The sequence below is a fragment of the Homo sapiens genome, chromosome 10 (assembly GCF_000001405.40).
Source record: "Homo sapiens chromosome 10, GRCh38.p14 Primary Assembly".
In the NCBI taxonomy this organism is placed as follows: Eukaryota; Metazoa; Chordata; class Mammalia; order Primates; family Hominidae; genus Homo; species Homo sapiens.
Window position 1 is genome coordinate 21666413 of NC_000010.11, and position 18628 is coordinate 21685040.

Consider the following 18628-nt stretch of genomic DNA (forward strand, 5'->3'; position numbering starts at 1 on the left):
CCAAACACTTTGGGAGGCCGAAGCGGGTGGATCACGAGGTCAAGAGATCAAGACCATCCTGCCCAACATGGTGAAACCGCTCTCTACTAAAAACACAAAAATTAGCTGGGCATGGTGGCAGGTGTCTGTAGTCCCAGCTACTGGGAAGGCTGAGGCAGGAGAATCGTTGGAACCCGGGAGGTGGAGGTTGCAGTGAGCTCAGATCGCACTACTGCACTCCAGCCTGGCGACAGAGCAAGACTCTGTCTCAAAAAAAAAAAATAAATAAAAAAGTAAAATAATGGAACAAGTCTTTATTGTTTACCATTTTTACTGTATTTGTCTGTTACTCCTTCCTTATCTCTTTTCACAGTTTCAGTTATCTTCAGTCAACTGCGGTCTGAAAAATATTGAATAGAAAATTCCAGAAATAAATACATTATAATTTGCACACTGTTTTGAGTGGTGTGATGAGAAATTTCACATCATCATCATCTCTCTGTACTATATTTACTATTAGCAATGAACATTTCTAATGCTCTTCCTTCTTTTTGGTATATTCACATTTCATTTATTATTTGTCTGAAATAGTTCTTTTAGCATTTATTGTAGTGTTGGTCTGCTAGTGATTAGTTCTTTCTGCTTTTATATCCAAAAAAGCCTTTATTTTGTATTTGTTTTAGAAAGATATTTTATAATAGCTGCCTGTGGAATTCTAAGTTGACAGTTTTTTCTTTTAGTACTCTCCTGTTTTCTAGATCGAATGTTTTCAGGGAAGATTTTGCTTTCATTCTTAATCTTTGTTTTTGGAGTGTAAGACATCCTTAAAAAGAAAAAAGAAAAGCCTGGTTTCTTGTAACATTTCCTCTTTATCATTGGTTTTTAAAGATAAGCAATTTGATAATGAACTGAGTTCATTTACTTTTCTTCATATTTATTTTTCTTGGGGTTACTTGAGGTTCTTAAACTGTGGGGGTTTTTTTTTTTTCATCAATTTTATAATTTTTCCTACTATTATTTCTTCAGTTTTGTGGGGATTTTTTGTTCGTTTGTTTTGATCCTCCCATTCTTTTTGAGTATTCTAGTAGCATGTAAATTAGGCTACTTAAGGTTGTTCTACAGCTCACTGTTTTTTTTTTAATGTACTCATTCTTTTGGTGATTTATGTTGGGTAGTTTACATGTTGTAGTCTCAAGGTTGGCTTGGTACAAAGTTTGTGGTTTTTATGGGACACTTGAATAGTACATTATTTTATTTTAATATTTTAACCAGCACATTATGTTTTCTAATGGTTGAAGGCATAGCACTTGCCATCACCAATGCAGATGACAGAGCCTTGTAGACTAATCTGAGGCAACCATACCTTTTGTAAATAATCATAGCTGCTGTTTCTTTGGTTACTTGTTATAGAGTCATTGTTTAATTTTGGATCTAGTTTTAAATTTTTGTTTGAAGTAAATAATTTTTGTTTCCACTTAATGCTATTGTATAGGTATATTGGTGTTGCAGCTTATCTTAGGACTAATAGTTGGCCATGAAATAAAAATGACGTGTATTCTGAATTAGCCTTTTAAAAGATTAAGTTGCCCGTAAATCACAATGTAGAACAAAGTATGCAGTACTTCAGAGACTCTCAGTACAGCCAAATATCTAGTTTTATCTCCAGTAGAAAACAACAACAACAAAAAAAGAACTTACATTTTTCAGTAGAGCACCAAATGAAGTAGTTGGCATTTTGTGGTCCAATTTACATTAAAAATAAGTATTATTATATACAAGAATTACACTCAGAGCAGTGAGATGTTCATACTATGATAGACATTTAGAATACAAAAGTGAGGAAACAAGATTTTGTGAATTTAGTCTTGGGCTTACTCATAGTGTGTCTTTCAGCCATCTCCCACCTCCTTCTGGTCTCCTTTTACCTGTCTTCGATTTTGAGTTGATCATTGTATGTTTATAATGGAATTCCCTAGTGCCATATTGTCCCAACAGCACATTATGGAACAAGTACTTTTAAAATCATTTTTAAACCTGGAATTAAAATAGATGTTTCTCTTTGAATGAACCCTGCATTGCCTTAGTTAGTGTCATTATGTGTAATTTAAAAATTGTTAACATCTAAAGCTAAAATTCATTTTTTTCACATTAAGTCTGATTATGTTCTGAAACGTAGGTTTGGACATTTAAAAAATGTTCAGTTACAGTTTTAATATGATTTTTTGTCACTGAAGTTTGATTGTTTTATTCATTGCTCTCTTTGTAATACTGTTTCTTCCAAATGTCATGTTTTCATGGGTTTTTATGGACAGATTTATACTTGAGGGTTTGATCAAGGGTGTTCTGTTAAATAAGTGGGAAAAATGACCATCTCTAATGTAGATTGTCATGTGGAAGTGAATAGCGTATTTCCATTTGTAGTACTCTACCCAATTTTCTCTCCATTCTTTATTTGATACATGAGCAAAAATACATGAGTGAAGAACACCACTGTGTTTTCTTAGATGACTTTTAAACTTCACTAGGTCATGCAAGGATCAGATGTGAGAGGAATGGAGAACCTCAGGATCAACTCAAGTAATTGGAAAAAGTATTTGAAAAATGAGGTGGGGTGGTTTCCAAATTGACCTGCCCAGCATGGAAAAGGTTCATATTTCTAAAGTAAGCCATGAAGTTTCATCAGCTTAAATGTAATTGGTTTGTAAAATGGGATTTTTTTTTTCCTTTTAAACTTACTTTGAAACGTTTGTTCTTGTTTGTGGATTGTAGTTTGTTAGAATAGTGGAGTACTTTGTTTTTATGAAATATTTCTTCTATTTAATGATGAATATCTGTTATTGGCACTGAGATGATGGGGGCTGGGGATGGCAACAGGGTGACAGAAAAGCAGCAAGATTTGGTTTTCCAAACACTTAATTTCTTCTCTTATTCCTCTTTTTGAAATTGTTTTTGCTAAAAATGCCAGCCATTTTGAAACTTTATTTTATTGTCATGTTCTCGTTTTTCATATTCATCTGATTGTTTGTGTTGAGTGGTGGCTGTATGTGGGAAAATTCACTTTTGCATATTTTCAGATTTTTTTCATTTTTATAGCAGAGATTTTAGATAGATACAATAAAAAAGTATTAACTTATCCAACAAAAATTTAGTGCCGATTATGTAGCAAGCACTTAGTGAACTTTATGCTGTGCATGCCTCAGATACTTTAGTGAACTTAATGGCAACATCAAAATCTTTGCCCTTATGGACTTTATAAACCTTTGATTTCAAAACATGGTGATTAATGTGCATCTGGTATAATACACTTTCATGTAGTCATTTTATTCACCATTATTTGGGTATACCTTGTATTAAAAATGACTGCTAAAACTGGAAACTATACAAGTCTTCATCTTTTTACCTTAACAAATGCAGATCAAGGGAATGATTGAGAACCATTTTTAGGGATAGTTATAAAATCTTACCTTTGCGATATATAACTTTTTCCTCAACATAACAATTGGAAAAATGATTTCTGTTTCAAATCTTTCTGTTTTTTTTTGCAAAGGGGCCCTCACCTGGTTTCCTTCAAAAGTTTTGCTCTGTCCTCCGCTAGCCTTATAAACTCATGGATATGGTCCTCTAATGGATTTGTAGCACCTTAGTTCCCTTATTGTCACCTTCCTGTGTTGAATACTAAAGCTTATTTTAATTTCATGTCTAGGAAGTGTAGACATTGTTAAAAAAAAATGATGTTGCTTGACAAATGAGTATCTTCAGTATTACTGTGTCACTTCATAAATATAACTAATACATACTTTTACTAGTTGTTGCAATTTGATCCTGAAACAGCCATCTTTAAATTATGTAGGCTTTTTCTTTTCTTTTCTTTTTTTAAAAGTAATTATAATAGACTTAAATTGTTTTTGGATGATTTTCTTAGGTGAACTGACTTATTTTTAGAACAGAAACTTTGTGTTTATTCTGCAAGTTCTTCTTATTAATGTGGCACCCATTGTTTTCTGTAACTAAAATGTAATCAACTCTTTTTCCTTCCCTTTTTGAATCAAAATGTTAGACTTATACAAGCACTAGCAACAACTCTATATCTGGATCATTGAAGCGCTTGGAAGATACTACTGCACGATTTACAAATGCAAATTTCCAGGAAGTCTCTGCACACACCTCTAGTGGAAAAGATGTTTCAGAGACTAGAGGGTCAGAGGGCAAAGGGAAGAAATCTTCAGCTCACAGCTCAGGTCAAAGGGGAAGAAAGCCTGGTGGTGGAAGAAATCCAGGAACAACTGTGTCAGCAGCTAGCCCTTTTCCTCAAGGTATTAGTGATGTTTTAGTTAAAATACTTGTGTTTAAGATGGTTAATAATAGTTATGCTTTGTAAAATAATTGGTTTGTTTTTGAACTTATAACTAATGGATGTTCTAGATTATTATATGATTAGTTGCTTTAGTAAGATTACTTTAAAGATAGTGTTTCCTATTAAATTTTTTTAATAGGGACTTTTTCTTTCCTTTTATAATATGATTTGTGCTTCCAGAGTTGAATTGTAATTTTAATGTTTAACTAGATATGGAATAATGCTTAAAATTGGGGAGAAAAATAATAAAAGCTGGAGCTTTGCTTTGAGTTCTGTAGAACAGTCCTTCTTTTTGTTTGAGACGGAATCTCGCTCTGTTGCCTGGGCTGGAGTGCAGTGGCCGGCTCACTGCAACCTCCGCCTCTCAGGTTCAAGTGATTCTTGTGCCTCAGCCTCTTGAGTAGCTGGGATTACAGGTGCATGCCACCATGCCTGGCCAGTTTTTGTATTTTAGTAGAGATGGGATTTCACATGTTGGCCAGGCTGGTCTCGAACTGCTGATCTCAGGTGATCCTCCCGCCTTGGCCTCCCAAAGTGCTAGGATTACAGGTGTGAGATACTGTTCCTGGTGTCTTTTCCATAAATGTTTTTTATTTATATTTCCTAAACATTAAAAACAATTAAGGTTGGCCGGGCGTGGTGGCTCACATCTATAATCCTAGCAGTTTGGGATGCTGAGGTGGGCAGAACTCTTGAGGCCAGCTTGGGCAATGTGGTAAGACCTCATCTCTACAAAAAATTTAAAAATTAGCTGGGTGTGAACTGGGCACAGTGGCTCATGCCTGTAATCCCAGTATTATGAGGCTCAGTCAGGTGGATCATCTGAGTTTAGGAGTTGGAGACCAGCCTAGGCAACATGGCAAAACCCTGTCTCTCTAAAAAATACAAAATTAGCCAGGCATGGTGGCACATGCCTATAGTCCCAGCTACTTCAGAGGCCGAGGTGGGAGGATTGCTTGAGCCCAGGAGGTTGAGGCTGCAGTGAGCTGAGATTGCACTACTGCACTTCAGCCTGGGTGACAGAGTGAGACCCTGTCTCCTTGGACAGGCAAACAAAATTAGCCAGGCTTGGTGATGTCTGCCTGTGGCCCCAGCTCCTCAGGAGGCTACAGTGCGAGGATTGCTTGACCCAGGGAGGTTGAAGCTACAGTGAGCCGTGATTGTGCCACTGCACTCCAGCCTAGGCGACAGAACAAGACCCTGCCTCAAAAAACAAACAAACAAAAAACCAAAAACAAACAATAAAACCCACTAAATAAATAAATACAATCAAGGTTTACATTTTTTAGTAGATAAACAAATACTAGACAATTTTTAGGGGATTTACATAGGTCTCAGTAAATAAGTTGTTGATTAATAATGCATTTGTTATAAAGTTTGAAGTTTAACAGGTTAACACACTAACCTGTTTTCCAGGTTTTCAGTGTGTGTGTGTGTGTGTGTGTGTGTGTGTGTGTGTGTGTGTATTTTGAGACAGGGCCTTGCTTTGTTGCCCAGGCTGGAGGGCAGTCATGTGATCACGGCTCACTGCAAGGTTGACCTCCTGGGCTCAAGCATTCTTCCTGCTTCAGACCCTCAATTAGCTTTTGCCTCCACCTTTGTCTCCCAAGTAGATGGGACCACAAGCATGCGTCACCATGCCCAGCTCATTTTTAAATTTTTTGTAGAGACGGGTTCAGCCTCCTGAGTAGCTGGGATTAGAGGCACACGTCACCACCCCCGGCTAATTTTTATATTTTCAGTAGAGTCGGGGGTTTCACCATGTTGGTCAGGCTGGTCTTGAACTCCTGACCTCATGATCCTCCCGCTTCGGCCTCCCAAAGTGCTGGGATTACAGGCATGAGCCACTGCACCCAGCCTAAGTTTCTTATATCTTAGAATGGTATGGTGGGGTACTCATGTTCTTTAAAGAAAGAATAAGCAGTGATGGCTGATTTCTTTATGAAGTTCCATGAAAATTGGATTGGGAGAATGTGAGATATAGATTAGATTCCATATGATCATTATTTTGTCAAATCCATTTTCTATTATGGTAGATTCAGCTGAACAATAACAATCACTAGTATGTCTTAAAGTTAAAACTTAGAACTCATAACCTAGGAAACTTCTTAAGTTCTTATTGTATATTGGGAACATTTTCAATCATACCTTCAATATTCAAAAAAGAAGTTCCCCTAGACATTTAGAGTCAGATTATAGTCTTGTTAGGTCTTCTTGCATGACTGTGGAAAGGAGACTACTGTTCTGTAGTCCTTCCTCAGGCATACATGAGGTGTTTGGGGGAGAATTGCGGAATGTTGCTGTGGCAAAAGGTAGGTGAAATAAAGCGCATCTTATATCTTAATAATTATTTAAGTAATAGCTTGCAATTCCACAGTAAACATTTAATACCATCTATAAAATGACACATGTTTTTAAAGGTAATTTTGGGGATAAATTTGACAAGTCTTAATATACGAATGTCCTAAGTGTTGTAGTTAATTTTTTTAAACTCTTCTCTTTAATGATTATATCATGTCTGCTGCTTATGGGAACTTTAGCATCCAATTTTTCTGTCCCCCCCACCCCCCAACTTTTTTTTTTTTTTTTTTTTTTAAACTACAGGCAGTTTTTCAGGAACTCCAGGCAGTGTAAAGTCATCTTCTGGAAGTTCAGTGCAGTCTCCCCAGGATTTCCTGAGCTTTACAGACTCAGATCTGCGTAATGACAGTTACTCTCACTCCCAACAGTCATCAGCAACCAAAGATGTACATAAAGGAGAGTCTGGAAGCCAGGAAGGGGGGGTAAATAGTTTTAGTACCTTAATTGGCCTCCCTTCAACCTCAGCTGTTACTTCACAGCCTAAAAGCTTTGAAAATTCACCTGGAGATTTGGGTAATTCCAGCCTTCCTACAGCAGGATATAAGCGGGCTCAAACTTCTGGCATAGAAGAAGAAACTGTAAAGGAAAAGAAAAGGAAAGGAAATAAACAAAGTAAGCATGGGCCTGGCAGACCCAAAGGAAACAAAAATCAAGAGAATGTTTCTCATCTCTCAGTTTCTTCTGCTTCACCAACATCATCTGTAGCATCAGCTGCAGGAAGCATAACAAGCTCTAGTCTGCAGAAATCTCCTACATTGCTCAGGAATGGAAGTTTACAGAGCCTCAGTGTTGGCTCATCTCCAGTTGGTTCAGGTAGGGGTTTGCCTATTATTATTTTTCTCCTTCACTCCCACCACCTCCCTTCTTCTGTCCCAAAACGTTTTCAACTGTTGTTACGATAATACTTGAAATTAATAAATGACATTTAATTAAAGTGAAATTTCTCAGTTTTTAAATTTTCTAATGGAAAATACAAAAATATCTTAAAGTCTTAGATGATTTGGTGTTTGGGAAAGATGTTCGGCACTAATTTGATTTTACTTAATTAAATGTAGGCTAAACAATCTATTGGTCATTCATTACTTACAAAACACTTAGAATTTATTTCCTATTTTTGTTTCACCTGCACAGTATTTTTTTTTTAATGCAGAATTTATATTTAGGGTGTGAGAGTTTTTACCCTTTGGTTTTTGTTTTGTTTTGAGCTCCCTTTCTCTAAACTTCAATTTTAGTAATCATTTTCTAAACGACTCCTCACACAGATACTACTTGAATTACCCTATCCTGAGACATTTTTATATCAGTGATAAATGATTTTAATTTATGGAATCCAGCAGTCACATTTTATTTCAGGAGATATCTGAAATGATTTAATTGTGTTTTCAAATATACTTCATGATTTTACCATTCTTTTTATTATAAGACAAGTGAGTTGATATACATTGTTATTCACACTATTGGGATGTTTCTGTAACTTGCAATTTGTATTATGAATGTTATTTTCAGTTTTTAAAAATTTCTTCAAAATGCAATGCATGTTTTTAGACAGACCCTTAACAGTTGATGTTAACTGAAATGTCAGCATTTATCTTTTAAATTTCATCTTGAATTTAAGATAAATGGTTTTCAATAAATGTTGAAACCTTTCTTCTAGTTTTAGATTTCTGATTGTTGAAATAACAAGAATTTAGGTAAGATAAATTATTATGGATTGTATTTGTTCTATTAGTTGGTGGCAAGGGTAGGTAGGAAATGGTATGGAAAAATGATACAATTTAATGAAGAATGTTCATGTTTATTTTATAAATACAAAATTTTAGATTGTTTTAATAGTTGTGAATACACAGTAGTAACTTCAATAAACAAACAAATAAATAAACAAATAAGAAAGACCAGTCCAAGAGAGAGAATATCATATGTAAAGGTCAGATGTGAGAAATAGTAACAATAACTGTGATTTGTTATGTGCCAGTTCTGTTAATATTTATTTTCTCATTTAACAACAGTTATGAGATGTCCTCATTTTACAGCTGGTAACACTGAGGCTTTGAAAGGTGAAATAAGATACCCAAGATCACATAGCCAGGAGTTTCTTTGTATTCAGAAATGAGTGGAATCTCTAGATGCATTAAGGATGGTTCTAGAGCAGGATTTATCAATCTTAGCGTTATTGACAATTTGGATGGGACAAGTCTTCATGTGTTACCCTGTGTATTGCAGGATATTTACCAGAATCCCCAGTCCCTGCCCCCTACAGGCCAAGAGCATCATCACACTCTCCCTTCCTACAGTGGGAATAAAAAATGTCTCCAAACATTGTTTAATGTGTTAAATGTGTCCAGAGGACTAAAACTACCTCTGGTTGAGGCTCACTATTTTAGAGGGGGAAAATACATGTAAATTGTAGTGAGAAAGAAGTTCATAGAAAAGGTTTAAATACATTGCATATTTGAATGTATGCTTTTATTTATATGTTTCCTTTGAAACTAGAAGGGCTTAGCAGTAAGCCCCCTTGTCACAAAAAGTACCTTTAGACAAATTTAGTCAAAAAATTGAATTTCTCTTCATTTTTAGCAAGAGGCGTAGTAATCAATCACATGAGTACCTTACTGAGAAAATAAAGCCTAGATTTGCTTTTGTGGGGAGACCTCTTTACTGATTTTCTGTAGTTTTGAAGCATAGTCTGGGAATTCCTGAATTTCAGAAATTACATTGGAATGCTTATTTGAAACACATCTTCAAATTAATAAAATTAAGATATTGATTTACATCCCTGAAAATATTTTCCTATCTGTTACAGATTTGGGGAGATGTTAGGTGTGAGGAATAGTGTTCCTCATAGGATGGTTGCTTTCAGAGGGCAGTGTTTGTGGTACTCCTGTGGCAGAAAAAAAGAATTCGTTTCTCTTACCTTACCATTAGGTAAACATAGTAATTTAGGGGGAAATTCTTGTAAGTATTAGTTCACAAAAATAAATGACCTAAGAAATTTATCTGCCAATAAATTTTTAAAACGTTGTGTTTAAAAATTACTCTGGGGCGGCCGCACACAGTGGCTCATGCTTGTAATCCCAGCACTTTGGGAGGCTGAGGTGGGTGGATCACGAGGTCAGGAGATGGAGACCACGGTGAAACCCTGTCTCTACTAAAAATACAAAAAAGTAGCCCGGCATGGTGGCGGGTGCCTGTAGTCCTAGCTACTCGGAGAGGCTGAGGCAGGAGAATGGCGTGAACCTGAGAGGCAGAGCTCGCAGTGAGCAGAGATCACACCACTGCACTCCAGCCTGGGCGACAGAGCGAGACTCCGTCTCAAAAAAAAAAAATTACTCTGGGGCTGGGCATGGTGACTTACGCCTGTAATCCCAGTACTTTGGGAGGCCGAGGTGGGCAGGTCACCTGAGGTCAAGAGATCTAGACCGTCCTGGCCAACATGGTGAAACCCGGTCTCTACTAAAAATAGAAAAATTAGCTAGACGTGGTGGCACGCACCTGTAGTCCCAGCTACTAGGGAGGCTGAGGCAGGAGAATCGCTTAAACCCGGGAGGCAGAGGTTGCAGTGAGCCGAGATCGGGCCACTGCACTCCAGCCTGGGAGACAGAGCGAGACTCCATCTCAAAAAAAAAAAAAAAAAAAAAAAAAAAAAAAAAAAATTACTCTGAAGATATTTTATGTCTTGTTAAAGCTATAATCATGGAATAAGATTATTGAAAACTCTTTGAGATATATTCTTTAGTTTTATGTATGTTAATAAACATTTTAGGACTTAGTGCAGAACATTTATTGACAATAGTAAAAAGCGTATCCTTATCTAGAAGAGGCTTGGCTTCATGTGCTGCTTTAATCATAGTAAGTTAAGAATTGCTAACTGCTGATGAACACTTAGTATGTGCCACACACTGTGTTAAGCAGTTAATAAGCATTAAGTGTTATTACTCATTATATAGGACAAGAAACTGAGACAGAATTCTCTTAGGTTTTAAGTGATGGAGATATGCATTTTCCCTGGGTCCAGAGCCATTTAATTAGACAGCTCAACAGATGTTTGCTGATGAGGGTCTAACACCACACTAGTGTAATGTCAGTCATACTTTAAGCAAAGAGATCCCTGAACAAATTTGAACCAATAATTTAACTTTCAGCAATAGTGTTTCTTATTGGTATGAAAAGTTAATTTTTCCTTTGGACTAATTTGAAATTGAGAAATCATTTAGTAATTGTGACAACAAGAAGCTTCCCCCCATATAATAAATAAGTAGGAAGGAGAAAATGTATACAGTCATCCTTTGGCATCCATGGGGACTTGGTTCCAGGACCTCCTGCAAATAAATACCCAAGTCCAAGATGCTCAAGTTCCTGTTATAAAACGTCATAGTATTTTCATATAACCTATGCACATCTTCCTGTGTACTTAAATCATTCTTTTCTAGATTTCTTATAATACCTAGTATCATGTAAATGCTATGCAAATAGTTGTTATACTATATTGCTTAGGGAATCATGACAGGAAAAAAAGTCTGTACACATTCAGTACAGACTCAATTTTTTCCTCCAAATATTTTCTATACAAGGGTGTTGAATCCCCAGATGTGGAATCCCACAGACACAGAAGACAACTGTATTATGTATTACATCATCACAAGTTGTTTTTCATGATGCTGTTTTTAAAAGATTGACTTTCTTGAATGACAGGTCGATAATTTAGTAATGTCGAAGATGACCTTTGTAAGCACCTGTTGTTTAAACTATAACATTCACTATAATACTAACTCCTGAGGCTAGGGGCTGTTTCTGACATACACCACTGTATCCCCACTGCCAGCACAGTGCTTTGGACATAGTAAACGTTAAACATTATTTTAAGAAATGAATGAATACCATTAGTTGTCTCGTGAGTGTATGTCATGTGGTTAGAAGTATGCTGTATGATTTTGTACTTCCCCTCTGAGTGTTTATAGCTAAGCTGTAAGACATATTACTTTATTTGTAAAGCTTTTCTTTTCTTTTCTTTTCTTTTTTGAGCTGGAGTCTTGCTCTATTGACCAGGCTAGAGTGTAGTGGCCTGATCTCAGCTCACTGCCACCTCTGCCTCCCGAGTTAAAGCAGTTCCCCTGCCTCAGCCTCCCTAGTAGCTGGGACTACAGGTGCGCGCCACCACACTCAGCTAATTTTTGTATTTTTAATAGAGACAGGGTTTCACCATGTTGGCCAGGACAGTCTCCATCTCTTGACCTCATGATCCACCTGCCTCAGCCTCGCAAAATGCTGGGATTACAGGTGTGAGCCACTGGGCCCAGCTATTTTTAAAGCTTTTCATGTAGTATTTATTTTGCCAGTTTATGATGAAAAGTATTATTAAGTTGGAAAAGATCATGGAGAGGTTGAATTGTACTTTGAAGTAGGCAGAAGACGAAGGCCAATATTACCTGAAAAGAAAGTAAAGGTCTGTTTGAGGGAAAAGCCTAATAAGAACAGGAAGCTTGTATTTGTGGCACTGTGAAGGTGATGTTTATAGGGTAGGATGGGTTCATTGAGAGATTAATGCCAGACTGAAGAAATCAAACTGATAGGCTAATGATCTTTTTCTTAAAATAACTATTCTGGCTAGTTACCATTATGAAAGAATTTCATTAATGGAAAAGAAAAAAAATGCTATCTCATTCAGCTTGGCAATGCTAATATAATCTCTTATTTGAGTACGTTTAAGTTTCTTAGGAACTCTTTAGTTACTCTCTCATTTGATCCTTGGAACAGCCTTGTGAAATAGGACAGCTCCTCTTGATGTTGTTATTTCTCCTTTACAACTAGGATGTAAAGCAGGAGTAGAGTCAGGTTCTAATGTGATTCCCTCTTGAAATTATTGGCTAAAAGCATCAGTTTTAATAGTAATCAAAATTCTCTCATGACATGTTCAAATTGTAGCAGAGTACATTTTTTCTGGGAACTGTAGATCAAATTAGAGTAGAAGCCTAGAAAACACCTATAAAATGTTTGATTCAGAGTTCAGATTCTAAAATTTGTATTATGGATTGAAGTGTGTCCTGATAAATGGCCTGTTTTATAGTGACTTGTACAAAATGGAAAATTAGTGTGTTTCTAAAAGTGATTTCTAAGAGTTTTAAGTTTGGGGCTTATAGGTTTTGTTGGTTTTTTGACTGAACTCTTTCCTACGTACATTTTTTTGGGTTCTGAACAGTTAGGCACGAGGTCTTTTGAAACATCAAAAACAGTTTTGGAAGAGTTGACAATCTGTCCTTTCCTCTTCGCTATTTATCTTCACCACATTACAAAAATTTGATTTACTAAAGTGAAAGTTGAGAACATCTTTTTCTTCACTAAAACCATCTTGTTATTTTCTCTGAGAAAAGTCTGATATTCATTAACCCATTTATGCTGGAGGTTGCGCTTTTTTGTGTGTGAAAAATCAGACCTTGGTGATGACCTTGAGCAGTAGGATATAAATAACTCCCACAAGCTTAGGTTCCAGTAATGGAACACGAGGCATAAAGAACTCAAATTGCAAGGGGTTGATGGTTTAGCATTCACTTCCTTTCTTGGGGCATACTGTGTCCTTTCAAAGTACAGGTTGAGTAACCTTTATTAAAAATTCTTGAGACCATAGTATTTGGAATTTCAGATTTTTGGGAGATTTTGGAATACTTGCATTATATATACTTACCAGGTGAGCATCACTAATCTGAAAATCTGAAATCCAAAATGCACCAATGAGCATGAGAGTCATGGGCGCACTCAAAAAGTTTTGGATTTTGGGGCTATGTTTTTGGTTAAATAATATCCAAGGAATTCCCAGTTATCCCTCCTTTAAAAAAATTTTTGCCAACAGTGTTAGCCATAAGGGAATATCAGTTGTTTCCAGGATTAGCAAACCCAGGTCCTTTGAGTCACAGCCTTGGTCCTAGTTTTATCAATTATTTTTCCCTCAGAAAGCCATATAGAAATTAATTTCTCATATTCTGAGCAGATTTTGCTTTTATTAGTGTTTTATTCCTTGTTCTCTGCACCCTCTGCTTGTTCTTCTCGTTTGGGTGGAATAAAAGAGTAAGGGTAATAATGTCTTATTCATTTGTTATCTTTCTCTTTTCTTTTTTTCTTTTCTTTTTTTTTGAGACCAAGTCTTGCTCTGTCGCCCAGGCTGTAGTGCGATGGTGCAATCTCGGCTCACTGAAACCACTGTTTGTTCAAGCGATTCTTGTGCCTCAGCCTCCCAAGTAGCTCGGATTACAGGCACGTGCCACCATGCCCGGCTAATTTTTGTATTTTTAGTAGAGACGGGGTTTCGCCTTATTGGGCAGGCTGGTCTCAAACTCCTGACCTCAAGTGCCCGCCTTGGCCTCTCAAAGTGCTGGGATTACAGGCATGAGCCACCACACCCAGCCATCTTTCTCAAAAATGAATGGTTCAAGATAGTGAGCTGAATATAACTTAATGAGTTTTATGCTGCTATATAAGTCATAATATATTTATGGTCATATATCAACTAAATTATCATACTTAAATTGTGATTTCCATGTGAAAATAGTATTCAAATGTTTTTGGTAAGCTCTTCCCATCTAATGAATGACCTAGACCTAGCGTGGTGGCTCACGTCGGTAATCCCAGCACTTTGGGAGGTCAAGGCAGGCAGATCACTTGAGGTCAGGAGTTCCAGACCAACCTGGCCAACATGGTGAAACCCTGTCTCTACTAAAGATACAAAAATTAGCCAGGCATGGTGGCATGCACCTGTAGTCCCAGCTATTTGGGAGGCTGAGGTGGGAGGATCACTTGAACCCAGTGAGCCGAGCTTGCGCCACTGCACTCCATCCTGGGCAACAGAGTGAGACTTTGTCTCAAAAAAAAAAAAAAGATCTAAAGCACATTAATGTATCATGTTGCGAATCATACTTTCTCCCATTAATGAAGCCTTTTATTCTCAGACACTTGTTATACAGATTCATTTGTAAGCCCTTATGTCTTTTCCTCACTCTTTGTAATAACACAGATACATTCCACACACTCCCATTAAGATTTGTGAGAATTCTATTCTGTTTGGTTCTCCCCCTCATGTCCCAATTATTAGCTTATAATTTTTGTTTTTGAAGTTCTAGGTGGCCTACTTAACTACACTTTTAGGTGAATTTCCCTCCATTTTTCTGGCCTATCTCTTTTTTTACCCTTGAGTCACTGGCAATTTCTTCACTGATTTCCTTTTTCCTTCCTCTCAACAGAAATTTCCATGCAGTATCGGCATGATGGAGCTTGCCCAACAACTAGTAAGTTGTCAAACTGGGTTGATAACCCGGGCCTTTTGTCTCCTCTAGTGCTCTTTCTAGTATGTTATGCCACCTCGGAACCTCTAAATTTTAATATTCCAAAATGCAAGTTTTTCTTAATTGAACAGATACTTTTCTCCTGCAAAGATAATGTACTGCTTTGTCTTGTTATAGATCCATATTACAGTCAAGTTGTGTACAAATTTTAATTATTGTTGGTCTTTTAATATGGTGCTTTTGTTGCAGAATTGTGACTTCACCTCCTTCTTGAAATAATGTGTTTATTTTTTTAACATTTTGTTTTCTATTCTTAATATAATTTTTCAATATTTGTATATTTGCACTAGGTGGTTTTTTTCATTAAGTCTTCTACATGTGTTGAGGCTTTCTTATACTGAAGTCTAGGAAATGAGAATATTTGATAGGGTTAGATGATATAATGAGGTTTTTCTTTATAATAAATATTGTTAAGTGTGCCCTAAGGCAGATTTACCTATATAGATTTGCATCCTACAGTGACTCACTTTTAGCAAGACATTACGTTGACATAAATGTCTTTTAAAAAGTGATTTGAAATACATATTTATTACTAAGGAAATTATTGTCGTTATGACAATATACCTTAACATATCTCAATTTAGTTGGTAATATGTTGGCAAGTGGAATACAATATTTAAAAATTTATACCATGTAAAAATGGAGCCAAGCTTGCAGTTTTAATGATTCAAACAATGATATATGATAGACTTACTGAAATTTTATTATACTAATTCAGTGTATGGCTATGTATTTCTTTTGTGTGTTTGAGAATGATCTTAACCTGAAGTCCTTTTTTCCTTACTTAAAAGCGTTCTCAGAGTTGCTGAATGCAATACACAACGGTAAGTTTTATTAGAATCTTCTCTAGTGGTTCGTTTATCACAAAGGTTGCCTTTTGTAGAGAATCTCGATTGAAAGCTAGCATGTTCTATTGATTAGATGAAATCCAGTGCTGCAGTGAGTCAATTGTTCAGCACCTTAGTGAAAAATTTTTGTAGATTGCCAATAAGAGGCTGATAGGTCAATATGGTTCATCAGTTTGGCTTTTATTGTTTCTTTTTAAGGCAAAATGATAATAGTGTTTTAAGTTTCTGAAAGTCTTTTTATTTTTACAAATGGTTTTTCTAGTTCTTTTGAGATCTCTCTTGCCAGTGCAGGTAATTATTGGTACCTAGGGGAAGAATTTGCTTGGAATGTGAATTTTATTTTTTAGGGTTTGGGTTTATTAATATATAGAATACTTTAATTATTTTACCCCTGTATTCCACATAGTGAATAAATGGAAGATAGTCTTTTAAATTACATCTGGTTTGGGACCAGGTTTTTTACAGTGGAGTTGTATCTTTTGCTGCATTGGGTTCTGAAATCAGCATATCAGGCAAATACTATCTTTGTAATGTAATTATAGTGAAGATTATTCTTGCAAAAAATGTTTGAAGGTTTCTTCAGTTTCCCCAAAGAACATTCCTTAATCCTTTGATGTTCAAAAATTCTCGTTTTGAGGCTAGTGTCAACTTTGTTGATTTTCTTTTTCAGTTATTAACAGATCTCATTTGTTCGAGACTGTTTATGTTCGACTCATTTGTTCAAGACTGCTTGATTCCAAGCAGTTTTTCAATACATTTTCATTAACTTCATGAAATCTTGCATATTTTGCTAATGTATTTTAATTTGCAGTCGATTTGTGTTGCGTTTGGGTTTTATTGTCAGATGTTTACAGTATCGACAGCCAACAAGAGACTAATGGCATAATGAGCAGGCATAGACACTCTTGTTGCCTTAAGGGTAGGGGTCGTTAGGGTGGGAGTCTTATCTTATAAGTTATTTTTTATTAATTAGTAGATTGATTCATAATTCTTGTCTCCCTATGCAACCTGTGCCTGCGGAAGCTTAGATAATGAATACTCTTGATAACAAGGAGTCCCTCAACACTAGGTATCTACAGGGAAAAGGGATTGGCAGCATCCTTGAAAATAAAATAAACTTGTTACTGTTATTTGGTAGAGAAGTGTAAAAGCTGAGGATGTTTAACATCATCTTCAGTTTGCATAAGTAAATTTAGAATTGTTCTTTAATTCTTTAATCCTGAACATCTTTAGAAAATAAACTTGGGATTAAAAGAAAGTAGACATCATGGGAGCAATGTAATGGATTTATATTTTTCATTGCAAGTACAAGTGTAAGATTGACACCTAGTGAATGATGTTTACCCTGTGGGTGATTGAGGGAGAGTCTCTTAGGCTTCGCTGGAAAAATTTGTACAGTATTTTCTCTCCCCCACTGCCCCATCCCCAACAGTTAGCTTTTCTTTCGAAATTTTTTGTGTTTGGGGTTTTGTTTTTTTTTTTGAGACGGAGTTTTGCTCTTGTTGCCCAGGTTGGAGTGCAGTGGCGTGATATTGGCTCACTGCAACCTCCGCCTCCTGGGTTCTCCCAGGTGGACTCCTAAAGTGTTGGGATTACAGGCGTGAGCCACGATGCCCAGCCATACTCTTTTTACTTACCTAAGATGGATGGTTGGATTATTGATTGGAATCTTTTATCTTTATGAACATAGTCGTTTACAGCTATATAATTTTATTTTTTTTTCTAACTTTTTATTTTTTTTTAGAAGCAAGATCTTGCTTTCTTACCCAGGCTGGTGTGCAGTGGCATGATCGATCATAGGTCATTGCAACCTTCAACTCCTGGTCTCAAGTGATCCTTCCACCTCAGTCCCCTGAGTAGATAGGACTGCAGGCGTGCGCCACCATGCCTGGCTAATACATTATTTTCTGAGATTATATCAGTCTTTTATGATTTCTTTGATTAGTCCTTGATTGTTTTTTCTCACACTATTTTCTCCTTGACTCTCTTATGTACTCACTTGGAAAATCTGCATACCTACAGCTTCAAGTATCACCTATCACCTGTGCTTCTTAGCTTCCCAAATCGATGCCTCCAATTTAGACTTTTCTCCTGAGTTGCAGACTTATATTTCGAAAAACCTAATAAGCTTCATTTCCGTATGATACTCAGCCACCTCAACCAGACTTAGGCTAGGAAGTTAACTTCAACTCTACCCTCTCATTTTCCTAGTCATCATTTTTTTAAAAAGCTTTTTTCTATTATTGATCAGTTTAACTTCTTTTTCTTTTGTATTTCCACTGCCCCATTTGGTTATGTCCTACATTGTCATCTGAACTGTTTCAGCAAACTCCTAACCTTCATTCCATTATCCAGTCCCTTTTCTAGATGCTACTAGAATTGATGGTCAATCTAAAGTGCAAATCAGACCATGTCAAACTGTCTTACTTAGAGAATTTTCTGGGACTTATGGGATAACATTTATACTCCTTCACATGGCATGTGGAGTTTTTCTTCATCTCGTTGTAATCTGATTCTCCAGTCTCATCCCTTCTTCTCCCCGACTTTACGTTGCATCAATAGAAGCTACTTGTAGTTTCCTGATGTTATACTACTATGTGCAACATCTCTGACGTAGACCTTGTTTGTATCTGTTGGTGTGGACTTCCAACTTTATCTAGTAAAAGTAGTCATTAAAACTAAGTGTAGTTGCATTTACTTCCTGCAAAGTTTTTTTTTCAGACTCTTTGATAGAATTAACCCTTTCTCTCTTTTTTAAT

General features: G+C 36.4%; 1 protein-coding gene across 4 annotated transcripts in view, besides 1 other annotated feature; it reads left to right on the forward strand.

The window, feature by feature from the left end:
- Positions 1 to 18628, forward strand: part of MLLT10 (MLLT10 histone lysine methyltransferase DOT1L cofactor) — a 209875-nt gene that overhangs the window by 132657 nt on the left and 58590 nt on the right. For 3 of the 4 annotated variants that reach the window (NR_136736.2, NM_004641.4, NM_001195626.3), the window contains 4 exons: positions 4037 to 4292; positions 6938 to 7507; positions 14920 to 14964; positions 15813 to 15845. Coding sequence is in view for 3 of the 4 variants with exons in the window: in NM_004641.4 (NP_004632.1) it covers positions 4037 to 4292; positions 6938 to 7507; positions 14920 to 14964; positions 15813 to 15845 (904 nt within the window). In the remaining variant the exon portion in view is untranslated. Of the gene's footprint in view, positions 1 to 2504; positions 2641 to 4036; positions 4293 to 6937; positions 7508 to 14919; positions 14965 to 15812; positions 15846 to 18628 lie in introns of all 4 variants that reach the window. The other variant, NM_001324297.2, reaches the window with a different exon arrangement.
- Positions 7268 to 7562: a silencer, noted in NCBI's record as "tiled region #7684; HepG2 Repressive non-DNase unmatched - State 15:Elon". NCBI's record gives its function as "represses a minimal TATA promoter and a strong SV40 promoter by Sharpr-MPRA in HepG2 cells {active_cell/tissue: HepG2}" and the evidence as "EXISTENCE:reporter gene assay evidence [ECO:0000049][PMID:27701403]".